The sequence below is a fragment of the Homo sapiens genome, chromosome 4 (genome assembly GCF_000001405.40).
Source record: "Homo sapiens chromosome 4, GRCh38.p14 Primary Assembly".
NCBI lineage: Eukaryota > Metazoa > Chordata > Mammalia > Primates > Hominidae > Homo > Homo sapiens.
This window is the reverse complement of record NC_000004.12, coordinates 2,265,405-2,279,605: the sequence shown is the minus strand read 5'-3', so window position 1 is coordinate 2,279,605 and position 14,201 is coordinate 2,265,405. Positions and strand designations below refer to the sequence as shown.

The following is a 14,201-nucleotide window of genomic DNA, read 5'->3' as shown; positions in this document are numbered from 1 at the left end:
GGGTTTCATCGTGTTAGCCAGGATGGTCTCGATCTCCTGACCTCGTGATCCGCCCACCTTGGCCTCCCAAAGTGCTGGGATTACAGGTGTGAGCCACTGCACCCGGCCAGTTTGTGATCTTTTGTGACTGGCTTCTTTCACTCAGCACGATGGGTGTGTTTTTGTTTTTGTTTTTTTAGACGGAGTCTCGCTCTGTCTTCAGGCTAGAGTGCAATGGCACGATCTTGGCTCACTGCAACCTCTGCCTCCTGGGTTCAAGCAATTCTCCTGCTCAGCTTCCCGGGTAGCTGGGATTACAGGCATGCGCCACCACACCCAGCTAATTTTTGTATTTTCAGTAGAGACGGGGTTTCACCAAGTTGGCCAGGCTGGTCTCGAGCTCCTGATGTCAAGTGATCCTCTCGCCTCGGCCTCCCACAGGGCTGGGATGACAATATGATGTGTTCAGTGTTCATCCACACAGTAGCATGTATAAGTGCTGCGTTCCTTTCTGTGGCTGAAAACTTATTCCATTATATAGATAGACATTTTGTCTATCCATTCAACTGTTTTCCAAAGTGTCTGTGCCATTTTATTTTTCCATAAGGAAGAGAGGAGGATTCCAGTTCCTTCACATCCTCACCTTCCTCACCACAACTTCATATTTTCTGGGTTTTTTTTTTTTGAGGGGGGGGGGAACATTCTAATCGTCCTAATAGATAAAATGGTATTTAATTGTAATTTTTTTGGCATTTCCTGACTGACAGTGATGTTGGGCATCTGTTCATGTGTTTATTAGCCATTTGTATATCTTCTTTGGAAAAATGTCTATTCAAATCCGTTTTCCATTTGTTCAGTAGTGTTTTTTTTTTTGGTCTTTTTGTTGTTGGATTGTAAAAATTCTTTCTATATTGCAGATACTATGTCCTTATCAGACACATGATTTGCAAAAATTATTCTGTGGGTTTTCTCTTCACTTTCTTGGTGGTGTCCTATGAAGCAGAAAGTCTTCAGTTTGATGAAGTCCAGTTATCTGTTTTCTCTTTTGTTGCCCATGCTTTAGGTGTCATGTCTAGGAAACTGTGGCCTAGCCTAACGCCACAAAGATTTACTCCAATGTTTTCTTTTAAGAATTTTAAGCCTGGGCGCCGTGGCTCACGCCTGTAATCCCAGCACTTTGGGAGGCTGAGGTGGGTGGATCACTTGAGTCCAGGAGTTCAAGACCAGCCTGGGCAACGTGGTGAAACCCCATCTCCGCTAAAAATGCAAAAATTAGCCGGGCAGTGTGGTGCACGCCTGTGGTCCCAGCTACTCAGGAGGCTGAGATGGGAGGCTCACTTGAGCCCAGGGAAGTCAAAGCTGCGGTAAGCCATGTGAGACACCATCTCAAAAAAAAAAAAAAAAAAAGAGAGAATCTTTGAGTTGTAGCTCTGACATCTAGATATATGATTCATTTCGAGTGAATTTTTGTATGTGGTATAAGGTCAGAGTTCAGCTTCATCCTTTTGCATGTGTGTCTCCGGTTTTCCGGCAGCATTTGTTGAAAAGACTATTCTTTCCTGGTTGGTCTTGGCACCCTTGCTGAGAATCCACTGCCCATAAGCATATGGGTTTCTTTGCGGACTCTCGGTCTCATTGGTCTGTATGTCGGTCCTATGCTGCTGCTGCACAGTCTTGATTCCTGCTCTTTCATGCCACATTGCAAATCACAAGTGTGAGTCCTCCAACTTGTTTTTTTTCTTTTGGCTATTCTGGGTCCCTCGAGTCACTCCCACATTAATTTTAGGATCATATTGTCCATTTTTGCAAGAAAAAAAGGCAGTTGGCACTTTCGTATGGATTGCATTGAATCTGTAGATCGATTTGGGGAGTCATGCCGTCTCAACAATATTGTCTTCCGACCTGTGAACACGAGATGTCTTCCCATTTATGTAGGTCTTCTAATATTTTTCAACAATGTTTTGTTGTTTTCAGTGTATGATTCTTGTACTTCTTTTGTTAAATTTATTCTAAGTATTTTAATCTTTTTTATGCTATTGTAAAGGGCTAAGGATTGTTTTCTTCATTTCACTTTCAGTTTATTGCTACCATATCTAAACACAAATGATCTTTTTTTTAATTTTTATTTTATTTATTTATATTTTTTTGAGATGGTGTCTCACTCTGTCACCCAGGCTGGAGTGCAGTGGCACGATCTCAGCTCAGTGCAACCTCCGCCTCCCGGGTTCAAGCAATTCTCCTGCCTCAGCCTCCCGAGTAGCTGGGACTACAGGCACACGCCGCCACGCCCGGCTAATTTTTTGTATTTTATTAGAGACGGGGTTTCACCGTGTTGCCCAGGCTGGTCTCGAACTCCTGAACTCAGGCAGTCCGCCTGCCTCGGCCTCCCAAAGTGCTAGGATTACAGGCATGAGCCACCACGCCCGGCGTGATCTTTAAAAAAAAGCCTTTATTGATATGTAACATACATACCACAAAATTCACCTTTCTAAATCACACAGTTCAGTGGTTTTGGGCAATAATACCCCTGAGCCTTCTGTGTCGGGCGCCACGCCAATCCGGCCTTCTGCCATGTACTTGCCGCCTCCGTTCCCTTGCCTCTGCTCTCTCCCTGCCCCAATTCTTTTTTTTTTATATTTTTAATTTTTGTAAAATATATGTAGCATAAAGTTTACTATTTAGCCCTTCCTAAGCGTACAATTTCGTGGCATTGAACACACTCAGTGCCGTGCAACTGTCACCAACATCATCTCCGCAACGTCCTCATCTTCCCAAACTGAAACTGTTTCCCCATCACTCACTCCCCCCGACTCCCCGCCCTCTGCCCACCCTGGCGCCCACCGTTCTACCTTCCATCTGTATGAACGTGACGGCTCTCAGGACCTCGTGTCGGAGACTCAAGCAGGACGCATCCTTTGGTAGCTGGGTTGTTTCACTCAGCATGATCTTGCCAACATTCATCCGTGGCTGTAGCCTAGATCCGAATTTCCTTCCTTTTTAAGGCTGAATAATATTCTGTTGTATGGGTGGACCACATTTGGTTTATCCACGCCTCTGCCAACAGACACCTGAGTTGCTGCCGTCTCTTGGCCGCTATGAACGTGGGCGTGCAAGTATCTGTCCGAGTCCCAAATTTCAGTTCCTTTGGGTAAGGCTCTGATGAGGCTGGGGGTACCGAGTGGAAGCTGACATCCTGGACAGTGAAGGCCCCTCCCTTATTCAGCTCCCAGGGCAGAGGGCAGCAAGGCCCACACCCCCAAGCTGAAGGTAGGGGCTTCATCTGTGGAACCCTGACCACCTGGGAGGGGAGAGCCACGGAGCATTGTTGGGGTCCCAGCAGAGGATCCCGTCCCATGGGCCCAGGCCCCCTAAGCCTCCTACCGTGCTCCCACGTTCCGGCAAATATTCAGCTATGTTAGCACATTGCCATGAGGGAGGGGGCCCCGTGCAGCTCCAGGGACGCTTCCAGCCTCCTCCCCCGCTCTGCCGCAGCCCGCTGCCCTGAATTCTCACGTGCGCCACGCCTCTGTGCTTCTGCAGGGTTTACGTCACGAGGCTGTGTCCCTAAATTAGATACCAGGCAGTTGTGCATGTTTCCCACGGTCTGTGAAAAGACTCACGCCACGTGGGATTCGTGCGCGTTGGCGGGGCTGTGGCTGGCTCGCCTCCGCCTCCGTGGCCTCTGCTGGTGGGCGATTAGATCACGGTGGGTCTTCCATTCCATTGCTGGCGGACTTGGGATCCTGCCCAGCGTTTCACTGGAATCCCCAGCACCGCGTCTAAGACCCTGCATCTCTGCAGACAGACGCAGATGCGCGTTTCCAGTGTATGCCGGCAACAGAGGCCACCGGGCTCCAGAGTGTAGACAGCCCTGGCTTTACTGAAACGGTGCGAACATTTTTTCCGAAGTGGTTGCACCAGCTGACGCTCCCACCAGCAAGGTGAAGGCTCCTGTGGTTGCACCCACACTGTTCTTATTTTTGCACAGGTCGACGAGGATCCCCGAACATTTGGGGCAAGGCTCGGCATGAGACACGGCCAAATAAATGAGCCAAGCCCTCCAAAAGAGGCCGTGCAGGATGCCAGTGGCAACTGAAAAAAATTATCACGAATATTTCTAGGTAGAGAAAAGATTTTGCATCCATGAAACGACAGTAACAGCAGTAAATTTAAAACTTGATAGCAGAAATTTAAACGTCAAGAGTAAAATTAGAAGAACGAGTTGGGGGAAATTTCCCAGAAAATGGGACAAAAAGATAGGAGATAAATTAGTTTAAAATGAGAGGGCCAGTGGGTGCACCCCTAGAGTTGGGCGAGGTGAACCTCCGGAGTTAGTACAGGCCCAGCTGTGAACGATTTATAGGGTCACCGTGGAACCCCTGAGTAGCAAATCTGATGAAAGCTGAGGACGCAGCTGCTGGGAAGATGGAGACCCCATGCACGGAGGGTCCCTCAGCCTCCAAGGGCATCCACGGACAGAGCCTGAGGTCTGGAAGTCAGAACCGATGCCCAGGGAGGCCAGCGAGGCCTGTGGGGTCTTGTGCAGAGGCCCCTGGAGGTCCCGGGCCCTGTTCTGACTCCAGGCAGGGAAGTGTAGGTGGGGGCGGGGGGATCCTGTATTCGTTTCTTGAGGCTGCTGTCCCCGCAAACTGGCCTAAGCCCTGGAAACTGTCTCGCAGTCGGAGGCCCGAAGTGCAAACTCTGGCAGAACCTCACTCCGTCTGCAGGCTCCAGGGCAGGCTCCTCTCGCCTCTCCCAGCTTCTGGGGACTCCAGGTGTTCCTTGGGTTGGGGCCGCGTCTCCGGTCTCAGCCTCCGTGGTCACATGGGCTCTCCTGCCCTCTGTGTCTGTGTCCTCTTCTGTCTCTTATAAGGACGTTTGTCTTTGGACTTATGACCTGTCCGGATCATTCAGGGCAATCTCTTCATCTCCAGATGCTTCACTTAATTGCTCCTGCTGAGACCCCTTTTCCAAATGAGGTCACGTTCACAGGCTTCAGGGGCTGGGGTGGGGAGAGATATTTTTGGGGGCTGCCTGACACTCAGGCCATTAGAAATGGTGTGAAAGGTGAGTTGACGCTTCCATAGGGGCAGTCGGTCGATATTAAGCCAGGAGTACAGCCTCAGTGGGTGAGTCGCCACCAGCTGTCAATTCCAGGAGGCCCAGCAGAAATCAAAGGCCCGGGACTGGCTCAGAGCCCTGTTGTACCACCTGGTATATGTGGTGAGCATGTTACACTGAGGACATTTTAGGTGAAGTTACAGGAAAGTTGTGTATCTGGGCAACAGATACACGCCTGTGGGGTGAGCGTCTGCGAGGACACAGACTTTTGTCTTGACCAGTGACCTTCGGGCTCCACGGCCCCTTATCATGCCCCACCCCACACACCGGTATCTCCTTCTCCATGCAGCAGCTCCACAGCTGGGTCCTGCTCCTCAGACAAGATGGGGCCAGAGGCGGCCCCAGCAGCCACGCATGCTGCCCCACAGGCCACAAGAGAGAAGATCCGGTCCAGGTTCCACGGCAGCCACGACCTCATCCACCGCCTGTTCGTCTGCATTTCAGGTGTCATGTCAGGGCCTGAGACCGGTGCATGGCTTGAGGACACACGGGCTGCGCTTTAGGGGAGGTCAGGCGGGGCGTGTACAACCTCCCCCTCACTTTCCTGTAAACAGCAGCCCACTCTGCCCCTAAGGAGCCAGCACTCCTGTTCATGGAGAAGGCTGGACTGACCCCACACAGGCAGGAGGAGGAGGGGAGCTGCGGGTGAGGGTGGGAGGCGTTTTCCTCCAGGGAGTGGCGGCGGGGGCAGTGGGGTGGGGGCAGAAGAGCCAGGCGCTAGGCATCACCTCTGGGCAGGGTCCACCCTGGGCTCCCAGCCACGTAGGCTGCTGGGGGGCTGTGCCTGCGAGGGGTGGACATGCTTTGCAGGTAGACACATTTGGATGCCTGAGTGGCTGTGACAGTCACAAGCACTGGCCTGGGGGTGGGCACAGTGCAGGGGCTCTGTAAGTGTCCCTCAGCGCGTAGCCTGGCCAGCTTAGTGGTGATGGCTGTGACCTGTGCATAAAAGGTGTGAATGTCAGCGGCAGACCGACTGTGGCGGGGCTGTCTGTCTGGTCGTCTCCCTTCCCCTGATCTCTCTCGACTCCCGAGTTTTTATTCTTGCAAGGGAATCCTCCCCCAAGGGGTTGGGCCTCCTCCCTCCCTGACTGATCTGAGAACACGCTGGCCTGGGCTGTGAGCTCTGGCTGGGTCTGCCCAGCCCGCAGCACCGACCTCCGCAGTTCCTTCCATCCGTCCTTCTGTCGTGGTTACTGTGGCCTTCCTTCCTCAGGTGTGGCTGACCAGCTGCAGACGAACTATGCCAGTGACCTGAGAAGTATTCTTAAAACACTGTTTGAGGTCATGGCCACCAAGCCTGAAACAGACGACAAGGAAAAGTTAAGGAAGGGTGAGTGCCCACTCAGGACGGGCTCTGAGGCCTGCGCTGGTGGCCGTGTCCCTGCCCACAGGGAGGGGTGCTCAGAAATCCACACCTTCTGGCCCTGGGGAGATAGGGTCCCGACCAAGCAATCGTCGACCCCAGGATCCCCTGACCTCTGCACTCCAAATGTGCCAGGCTGCCCTTCCTGCTGGGGAGCCAAGGGGCACAGCAGCAGGCCCAGGAAGTGCCCAGATGGGCTGCCCGCCCAGGAAGTCACTCCACCCCTGCAAACGAGCAGATGGGCCAGGGCCCATGGCTTGTGCCCACAGCCCCGGCTTCTGTCCCCTGCATGTGCAGCAGCAAGGTGACTGCACCTCTGCGTCTGATGGAGGCTGGGAGAACCCAAACCCTCCCTCTTAAGGATGAGACTCGGCCGTGGTGCCACGTCTCTTCTACCGAGAGCTGCCCCTCAGAGCAGCCCGAGGCTGCCCACCCCGAACCCGCCTCTCTATGGGGGTGGAAAGGAGTCCACTGCTGCCCATGAGCTGCTGAGGTATCACACATGCTTGACACAGCAGAAGCACACAGGCATGCTCTCACAGCCATGGTCACACAGAGACACGTGCACATACACGTGCACACATGTACTCACGCATACCCACACCCACACACATGCACACATGTGCACATACGCTCCCACTCACACGTGCGCACATGTTATCTGGGAGGGAGAAGGCAGGGACTGGTTAGGCACAGGGAGTCTGGCCCTCGGTCCCTGTAGGATCCAGGGTGGGAAAGGGGACTAAGCCCCTACTCGCCACCCCTGGTGCTCTGGTGCTGAGCTGAGGCACTTGTTCCAGCAGAGCCATCCCTCACCACAGAGGCTTCTGTTCATGGGGCGTCCGGGCACATGGGGCAGCCCGCCTGGTCCTGGAGCCCTGGCCCAGCAGGGCATACCCTTGCCAGCAGGGAGGAGCCCATGTGCCGACCCAGCTCTGCCCTGCCGAATCCACACCGCCAGGCTGCATTCTACCAGGGAGGTTGGCAGGACTGCCTTCTGGAAATCATGATTCAGAGACGGCAGGTGACATGGCCCTGTTCTGCACACGGAGGTTGTGAGCTGCAGTCCTGGCCACACACGTGCCATGCAGGGGCTCCAGGGCTGGATGCCCCTGTCAGGGGGAGCAGCCACAGGCTTCTGGGCCCCCATGTTGTGCAAAGGAGAGGCCCCTGCTCAGGAAGACCCCCAGCCAGGATCGGCGCCCAACCTGCTGTGGTGCCACCTGCCATGAGACTGCCAGTGGGCTTGGGGAGCTGACCGACTGCTGGAAGCCCCCAGCTGTGCCCAGCAAGTGCAGGTGACCCTGCATCAATTGCCCGCCTCCCTCACCATACCCCGACGGCCCCCCTTCTCCACTAGTCACCCAGACTCTGCGGAGTGCGGCCTTGGAGGACTGTGCACTGTGCCAGGAGACCCTGTCATCCTCTGAACTGGCAGCCAAGACCCGCGATGGGGACTTTGAAGGTGTGTGGGAGGCTCTGGGTCAGGACACTGCACTAGACACCAGTGGGGGCTGTGGGAGCCACAGGAGCCTTCCTCCTGGGGGAGGGGCTGCAGGCCACCCTGTCCGGGCATGTGGGAGCTGGGAGACCGCCCCCCCGGAGGCTGGCTGGAGGCCAGGCGGCTTGGCAGTCTGGAAAGGAGGGCCCAGGGTAGGTTGAGGGTCCCGGCCCAGCCCACCTGCTCCTGCCGTCGCTGATGTGACGCTGCTGTTGTTGTGACAGACCCCCCGGAGTGGGTGCCAGACGAGGCCTGTGGCTTCTGCACGGCGTGCAAAGCACCCTTCACCGTCATCCGCCGGAAGCACCACTGCCGCAGCTGTGGGAAGGTGGGTGAGACCCCTTGCACGGAGGGTCCCTCAGCATCCAAGGGCGTCCACGGACAGAGCCTGAGGTCTGGAAGTCAGAACCGATGCCCAGGGAGGCCAGCGAGGCCTGTGGGGTCTTGTGCAGAGGCCCCTGGAGGTCCCGGGCCCTGTTCTGACTCCAGGCATTTGACCACGGGAACCTGGATGGTGCCCATGTCCAGTCCCGGCTGCTGCAGAGCCAGCCACAGAGAGGGGACAGCGAGTGTGAACAGGAGCCTGCAGCAGCCTTGGTGCAGGACGTGGACCCCTCATAGAGTCCAGCCTCCTGAAGGTCACAACCCCTGGCAGCTGGGGCTGGGCAGTCCCCACCCACCAATGCGGCCTGAGCTGGGTGGGTAGGTGTGTGGGAGGGCGAGGAGCCAGGGTGGGTGGGGCTGGTCTGCCGCAGACCCTCACTGCCCCAACCCCATTCCAGATCTTCTGCTCGCGCTGCTCCTCGCACTCAGCACCGCTGCCCCGCTACGGGCAGGTGAAGCCGGTCCGAGTGTGCACCCACTGCTACATGTTCCATGTCACGCCCTTCTACAGCGACAAGGCCGGCCTGTGACGTGGTGCCAGGGGCAGCCCCAACCCACCCGGGCCAGGAACCCCCAGGAAGGTGGGGCCACGCTGCAGGCAGGTCTCACTGCGTCTCATGAGGCCGCTGCCGCTGCTGCAGGGGCACCCAGACCTCCAGAGCATCCAGAGCCTCTGTCCTGCCCACGCTAGCCTCCCTGCAGGGACCCCGGGCCGGCTGCAGGGGCCAACAAGAGGTCAGCTTTGCCCAGCAGGGGACCCGGAGGAGCCTGGTGGCTGCCTCAGGGCAGGGTGCCTGGCGGAGAAGGCCTGGGCCCTCCCACTGGTCCCTCGGAGATCTGCTGGGGCTATGGGAATCGGGGCGGGTGATGGAGGTGGACAAGAGTGGGGCCACTCTGCGCCTCTGCTGTTGCGGTGAATCTGGAAGCCGGAGCAAGGGCCACTCCACAGGCTCTTTGGCACAGCAGGGCTCCCTATGTGCCTCCCAAACGTCAAATGCAGGCTACCCATTCTCCCCATCAGCTGCCCACCTCGTTCCCCAGCCCTCACCCCTCACCCCTCACCATCCTTCCTCAGGACTTGGCTAAACAACATGCATCTCATTTCTTCTTGGAGTGGGGAGATGCGGGAAGCTGACCCAGTGGTCCTCTAGGCAGGCAGGGTGCTCCTGGTGTCTGCCCACCACTGTCCCCTTGCTGATGGCATGGGGGTCCGACCAGGCACTGACACCGCAGGCAGAGGTTGCTCGGGGCCTTGGGTCGGGTTTACCAATCAGCCAGGACGCCCGGGGCCACCAGCTCAGCTACCACTTCCCCTTCCCTCTGCACCCTCTGGAACCCTGGCCCAATTCCTCAGACCCCAGAGTGGCCTGGGACCCAAGCTGCCGCAGCTGAGTGGCCCCAGCGGACACCTCCTCAGGCTTAAATCTCAGGCTTCACATTGCAATGACGATTGCAGTTTTATTTTTGGAGATGACACACCTACTGCTTCTTTTCTAGGATAAATCTAATTACTGTTTACTGGTGGAGTACATATGCATAGAAACGGCTTCTGTCGGGGGGAGAGTATATAATGGAGGAAATATTATGTATTGAGATTATATTTATTTTCTAAATGCTGTAATTTGAAGCCATTTCCATAAATCTATTTAAGGATTGCAGACGCTCTCCTTTCTTCCATGAACGCGGATCTTTTTTCTCTGTCTGGAAAGCGATGGTGTTGGTGCTAACATGCATTGTCCTCTAAGAAGCTGGAGGCTCCTGGACTCTTGGGACGACTGAAGGGCGGGACTTGGCTCCCACCAGCCCTCAGGAGCAGTGGCCACCCCCTGCTTCCTGCAAGCTCCTTCCCACCTTCCAGGGCTCTGCCCCTGTGATGCCCATCCCCCCCTGCCCATCTACCTGCCCAGCTCCTCTTCTCACAGGCATCTTCAGCTCAGCCCTCTGGCCTGTGGGGGGCAGGGTTAGTGCTCATAGCCACCCCGACTTGGGGCCTGCCCTGCCTGGTGGCCCTGGTCGTAGGGCTGTGCTAATCACGCCTGGAGCGGCTGCCTTCTGGAGTGTCCTGGAGAGAACTCAGGAGGGCGGCCGCAGCCCAGGTTGCCTCGACGATGGGCCTGTGCCCACAGGACTCGGGTACCCTGCCCTTTGGAGATGGGCACTGGTGGGTAGGCAGATACTGGGCTTGCTTTCTTTCTGGCAACGGAGAAAGTGTTTTGGAATGTGGGGCCCTGTCTGAGCAGGGCTGAGTTATTCGGGAGCAGAGGAGAAGGGATATCCGGGGGACTCTGAGATGGCCTGCCTGCCCCCACGCCCACCCCAGCGGACAGCTGTGCTGCACGAAGCTGCGCCACATCCCCTGGCTCCTCACAGGCACCCACGGTGGCCGCCTTCCGGGCTAAGGCAAGGGGCTCCTCCTCGTCCACCAGGTCAGCAGTGGCAGAGGGAGCGGAGACCAAGAAGGGTCTTCCCCTCAGAGGTCTGGATGTGGCCTGTGTCCCCGGCAGCCCTCCAGACCAGCCTTGGCCTGCCTTGTGCAGGGGGGAGGGGAGAGGGCAGCCCCTCTAAGAGCTGCCCTGCAGGAAAGCCTGGGGTCGCAGGATCCCCCCAGAAAGGGTGACCAACTCTCTTGTTCCCCCAGGAATGAGAGGTTTTCTGGGCTGCGGGACTTTCCATACTAAAGGCAGGACATGTGGTCACCACCCACCCACGGGGCTGTTCCCACCCCAAGGGCAGAGTCAGGACCTGGGGATGAGAGGGGCTGGGCCAAGGCAGAACCAGCTCTGGAAGGCTCTAAAAGGGATGGCCTGTCGCCCACCCACAGCTGGGGCTGGGGACTGCAGTCTCTGGGTTGGGGGCAGGAGAGTGCCATGGGGTCTGGTTGTGGGGTCAGCCCCTGTGGGCCTCAGTTTCTCCACCATCACCATCATTGCTGTTGTTTCCTGAGCAGGGCTGTCTCCTCTCCTCCCACAGCCCCTCGAGGGAGCAGCATCCCCGTGTTGTAGGTGGGGAAACTGAGGTTCGAGGAGGTCTGTGACAGAACTGGGTTGTGCGTATCTAGGAGGGTCTCCAAGAGGCAGACACAGAAGTTCCTGCGATGGGAGGGGCTCCAGGAAGCACTGGCCGTGGCCGATGGTGCCTGGATGGTGTCTGGAGGCCATTTCCAGGGAAGGCTGCTGCGGAGGCAGGGGCGTCCCCACCCGAGCACCCGGGTTCCTGGTCCCAGCAGCTGCAGAAAGGCTGGGGCTGCCTGGGCCAGGCCTCCCTGCGCTGCCCGGGCTATGCACAGGACTGGGAGGATCCCCCAAGCTCCCTGTGTCCAAGGGGCTCAGGAGGAAGCCTGGGGCAAAGAGACCATTGCCATACCTGATCTTGGGGAGGTGGGACGAGGTGGGGGAGAAGGGAGAAGCCCCACCCTGTCCTGCCCTGCCCACTGCAGGCTGAGGCGTCTCCCGAGGCCCTCACCCACCTGCACTGTGGCGGGTCCCCTGTGGCTCACCTGTACAGCGGCCCTTCCTCGGGCAGCAAGCTCCCCACCCACACTGGCTGTGCTGGTTCCTGGGCTGATGGGGATAAGGAGGCTGTGAGCAAAGGGGCAGGTGGCTCTGGGGAGGCCTGGGGCGAGAATGCAGGGAGGCTCAGAAGTGGTGGGCGTCCTTGCTGGGCCAGGGAGCCGGTCTGAGGCAGGGACTGTCCCCTCCTATCCTGCGGCCCAGACCCGGCCCCACCCCCCACCGCAGCCCTTGCTTATCTTCAGGAGTCCTGGTGTTGTCCCTAATGGCCACCAAGGCCCGCCCAACTCCACTGCCTCCTCGAAGCAGTGCAACTTGAGGTGTTGGGGTCTCCCCACCGTGGCCAGGCACCCTAAGTCTGGACAGAGACCCCAGCGCGGCCGACCCGGTAGCCAGGCCCTAGTCCTCAGGGTCCTACACCTGGGAGGAAGATCCAGAGAGGCCCTAGCTGGTACAGCAATGACCAAGGGCAGGACAGACCATGCCCCCAGTGTTCCTGGTTGGAGCCGGACGCCTGTACCACCAGGGCTAGGCGGGGAGCTGGCAGAACCCTGGGGAGGCAGCTTTATGGCATCTGTGCACTGATGCCTCCCTCCACCAGCACCCAGCCACTGCTCTTCCCACCCTCTGGACTCTGCAGTGGGAGCTCAGGGGAGGCAGGCAGGCCTCAAAGTGCCCGCCCACACTACCCCCATGCCCCAGAGTCCTGGAGGTGCTCCCAGGCCCCATAGACCCACCTCCTCCAGGAAGCCTTCCCAGATAGCAGCACCCCTACCATTCACGAGAGGAGGACCTGCTCTTCTACCCCAGGCCTCAGGGAAGAAAGGGGGTCCCGGAACAGCAGCAGGGCCAGGCAGGGCCTGTCCAGCTTCAGAGGTCCTGGCCCTCCGAATTTTAAAGGCCACCCCCAGACACCACAGCAAGTGCCTTGAATCTGCAGCCACGGCCTCTTTCATAAACTTGTTTTTCTCTTGTAAAAGTGTTTGAAAGGAAAATTTCCTCTTTTGCTTTTGGACATTTTGGGCCATAGGAAATTCATTTAACTTATAGTTGTCTGAGTTGTCTGGGGGTCTTCTGCATGCTGGGAAAACCTTTTAAAGTGAGAAAAAAAATCTACCCCACCAATTGTTCACAAATAGAATTATCTGATTTTAAATTTAAAAATAACGCTGACATTATGTTTGGTTATATAAACATTTAATTACATCTCCATGCATTTTGATTGTGCCGTCTTCTTTTCGTATTCTGGAGACAGTGTTTTCCTGAGTGTCAAACTTTTTGGAAGGCCCCCAAGAGGCCTGGCCTGGGGCCCGTGGCTGGCCAGCCGGGCAGCCAAAGCTCCACCCAGGTTCTCAGCGAGACTCTGCTACTGACCGGCTGAGACTGGGCAGGCCCTGTCTCTCCTAAGCCCTGTCTCTCTGTGGGCAGGGCCGAGGGGTTGGAGGCTCTTGCTGATTTGGAGCTGATGTTCACATTCCTGGCACTTCCTGGGCACCCCTTAGTGCCCAGCCCACTGCTGTGCAGGGCTTTGCATGCATCCTTCATGACACACCCCAACCACCCAAGAGGCAAGTACTGTCACCCCCGATTTTACAGCCCAGGAAACAGGCCCAGGGAAGCTGACAGGACTAGAATCCAGGGTGGCTTCAAGGAGAGGCACCATAGGGACTCCCCCTGGTGCCGGGACACAACCAGGCCTCTTGGTGCAGGGGAGCCAAGGCCTCGGGGGACTGGGTGCGTGCTGAGCTGGTCACAGCTCTCCAGCCCTGACCCGGGCCACCCCACTGACCTAGAACCTGCCACCCCTCAGGGCTGTGGAGATGGGGACTGTGCTGCAGGATTCTGACGGAGTGGAGGCAGGGCAGCCTCCCGCCCTGAATGCTGGTGCAGGGGACCTGGGGGCTGCTGGCAGCCCACCCAGTGACAGGAGGCCCAAGGTGGGAGGGGCAGGGTGTCAGTGGCCAAGTTTGGGGATCAGGGCCTGGTCAGCCTGGAAGTGTGGGAAAGAGGCTCTGCAGCTGCCGGGGCCTCACCAACCTTCCCTCCCTGGGTGTGTGAGGGGTGCTCCCTGAGGCTCTGCCGAGACTCAGATACCCCGAGAAGTCATGTGTGTGTGGTGGCCATGAGGAGTTTGTGGATCCTGAGTCCAGTGAAAGGAAGTTGGGGCCCAGTGGGCGCAGGAAGGCCAGGAAGCTGTCTTCTGGAGGTCTCTTTGGGGCTGGCCTTAGATACTCTCACAGATCCTGCGGGTGGGGAGTCAGCCCAGTAGCCTTTCCCAAGCCAAACCAGGAATCCTTTATTCCTATTCCGTCCTCCATATGTCCCAAGAGGCAGCACTGCC

At 57.1% G+C, this 14,201-nt stretch overlaps 1 protein-coding gene across 3 annotated transcripts in view, besides 1 other annotated feature; it reads left to right on the top strand.

Moving 5' to 3' along the window:
- The window catches only part of ZFYVE28 (zinc finger FYVE-type containing 28), a 149,049-nt gene extending 139,040 nt beyond the window's left edge, over positions 1-10,009 (top strand). For all 3 annotated transcript variants that reach the window (NM_001172656.2, NM_020972.3, NM_001172659.2), the window contains 5 exons: positions 5,390-5,544; positions 6,317-6,433; positions 7,827-7,931; positions 8,192-8,295; positions 8,750-10,009. In NM_001172656.2, the coding sequence (NP_001166127.1) occupies positions 5,390-5,544; positions 6,317-6,433; positions 7,827-7,931; positions 8,192-8,295; positions 8,750-8,881 (613 nt within the window). In that variant the 3' untranslated portion in view covers positions 8,882-10,009. The remainder of the gene's footprint in view (positions 1-5,389; positions 5,545-6,316; positions 6,434-7,826; positions 7,932-8,191; positions 8,296-8,749) is intronic.
- Positions 11,684-12,736: a transcriptional cis regulatory region, noted in NCBI's record as "candidate enhancer chr4.319 targeted for multiplex CRISPR interference". NCBI's record gives its function as "positively regulates LETM1 gene expression in K562 cells {active_cell/tissue: K562}" and the evidence as "EXISTENCE:mutant phenotype evidence [ECO:0000015][PMID:30612741]".